Genomic DNA, 3,104 nt, shown 5'->3' on the forward strand with positions numbered 1-3,104 from the left:
TCATTTTATCATTATGAATTGTCTTTCTTTATCTCTAGTAATACTATTTTTGTTGAAGTTTGTGTTATTTGATATAATAATAACCACTCCAGAATTCTTATGCTTACTGTTTATGTCAAATATCTTTTTCCATTCATTTATTTAAAGAGTGTCTGTTGTAGGCAGCATGCAACCAAGTCTTATGTTTTTATCCACACTGATAATCTCTGTCTTTTTGTTGGAGTGTTTACACCAGTACCATTTATTTTAATTATTATAATGATAAGAATTTTGGTTTACCGCTTCATTATTTGTTTTATTTGTCCCCATGGTTTCTTGTTCCTCTGTGCTTCCTTTCTCACTTCATTTAGATTTTTTCAATATTATTTATATTCCACTGAAAAATATCTATTAATTTTAGCTACATTGTTTTGTTTTCAGAGTAGTTCCAGTGATTATAATATACATAACAAATTTATTAACTTATTAATTTGTTAATATAACTAACTTATTCACTAATTTAACAACCCATTTAGCATTAATATTATATCAATTTATATAAAATATAAAAACTTCATCATCATTGAAATACCCTTACCTCACACGCTTTATGTTGTCATATATATTACATCTATGATATTGAAAACCCCTGCTAACCCTGTCCAGAGAGCACACCTTTATTTTCTCATTTAACTTTCCAAATCCTTCATTAGAAGTAAGTTTTTCAATTGTTTAATATGCATAATTTCATTCTATTTCTATGCAGTATGTATTTATATATAATTGATTTAGATATTACTATATATGTATGTGTATGCAAACGTTTACTATATACATGCATATATAGTAATATCTAAATCAATTTTATATATAATACTTTCCTTAATATTCTCCCTTTGTGTTGACTTCTCTATAGTACATACACACACATACATACATATATAGTATGACACACAAATGGCATGTGGCTGTAGAGAAGGCAGCACCAGGGGAGATTATTAAGGAATGCTATCAGAGAAGTAACAGGGAGTCAGACCATGTATGTCTTTGTAGGCCAGAGTAAGGATTTTGGCATTTAATCTTAGAGAAATTAAAAAAGAAATGTTCTGAGCAGAAGAGTGGCAAATGTTTTAAAAAGCTACTATACTAAGAATAGACTTTATTGGGTCAAGGGAAGAGGCAAGGAGGCCACGTGGAAGGCTATTAGATAAATCCAGATAGAAAGTGTTAGTGGCTCAGACCAGGAGCTAGTGATCACTCATTGAATTCCTGATATATTTAGATAGTAATGCCGGCAAGATTTTCTGATGGATTGGATGTGGAACATGTATAAAAGAGAGGAGTAAAAGATGACTCCACAATTTTTGAATTGAGCAATTGAAAGTTTTGGGTTGCCATTCAGCGAGATGGGAGAACCACTAGGTGGAGTAGTTTGAGGTAGAAAAACATGAGTTCAATTTTGGAGATGTCATATATGCAGTTATATATGTGAATATAATTTGCCAACTTCTCTGGGCAGAAGATATAAATTTGGGAACTACCTTGCATAGATGTAACATAAAGTGATGAGATGAATGAGATTCCCTGGAAAGTAAGTGTACATATAGAAGAAGAAAAAAAAGACCAAGTCCCAGGGTCCTTGCTATGGTTTGAATGTTTTTGTCTCCTCCAATATTCATGTTGAAACTTAATCTTCAATGCAACAGTATTAGGTGTGGCCTTTGAAACGTGATTGAGTTGTGATGACTCTGCCTTCACGAATGAAATTAGGTACCCTTATAAAAGGGAGTTCACCCTTCTCGTCCTTCTGCCTTTGGCCATGTTATGACATAGCTTTCTTTACCTCTGGAAGATGCAGCATTCAAGATGTCATCTTGGAAGCAGACAGCAGCCTTCACCAGATAATCAAACCTGCTGATACCTTGATCTTGGGCTTCCCACTTCCCAGAACTGTGAGAAAATAAATTTCTCTTTGTAAATTGCCCAGTCTGTGATATTTTGTTACAGCAGCACAAGACAGACTAAGAGAGGACTCTAAGAAACAAACAAAAGAAAGATCTAGAAGAAAGGGAGAGGAGTAAGGAGTTTGAAAGGAGCAACTATTTAAACAGAAGGTAAACAAAGGATGAATATTTTCTGAAGCCAAATGACAAAGTATATGAAGGAGGATAAATTAACGTTTTGTGTCAAATGCTACTGATAGGTCAAATAAGATGAGCACTGAGAATAATCCTTTAGATTTAGTAACCTGGTAAAATTGGCATCCTTGAAAAGATCCATTTTGTAGTGGTTATGATGGTAGGAGGAAGTCTGATTGGAATATGATTAAGAATGGAAAAAAAAAATGCAAAGAAAGGAGGGAGGAGAATCAGAGTCAAGGCATACAAATAATCTTTTCAAGCAGATTTGCCATAAAGGGAGTAAAGAAGTAATGAAGTAGTGGTAGCTTATGGGTAAAGTAGGGTCAAGAGAAGACTTTTTTGACTTGGAAGTGATGAGAGTGTATTTGTATACTGATAGGAGCGGTCAACTAGAGAAGGATATTCTGAGCAAGAAAGAAAAAGAGGTGCGCTCATTTGAACCACGTCTTTTAGTATGCAAGAGTGGATGGGCTCAAAAACATAGAGAAAAATTAATTTAAGTAAGAGCATAGATAAATCCTCTAACAGGTTAGAAACCTGAGGTTCTAGGCATTGATGTTGGTAGTAAGTAGGTGAGTTTGGTACAGTTTGTTAAAGTTGTCTTCTGATTGCTTCAATTTGATTTGTGAAGTAAAACAAGGTCAACATCTGTGAATGAATCTGAGGAAGAGAAGTTGAAGATTTGAGGAGTAAAAACTTATGAAACAGTCACCTAGGGGCATGAGAGAGTTAATGGTCTCTGGAGTTTTTTCAGTTTTTTTGAATGTTCTGAAATTTCACCAGTGTATGTTTTGGTGTGTTTTTGTTTTTTTGTTTTTGTTTTTTTCATCCTGCTAGGTACTTCGTGGGCTTTTTTGATCTGATGACCCATCCTTTCTTCAGTTCCAGGGAAGGAAAACACCACAAAGAAACATAGGGGACTTCATGAAGAAGACTTCTAATGGAAAGTAAAGTTGAAGTGGTAGTTTTGTGATCAGATAAAGT

This window comes from Homo sapiens, chromosome 5, assembly GCF_000001405.40.
Source record: "Homo sapiens chromosome 5, GRCh38.p14 Primary Assembly".
NCBI classification, from domain to species: domain Eukaryota; kingdom Metazoa; phylum Chordata; class Mammalia; order Primates; family Hominidae; genus Homo; species Homo sapiens.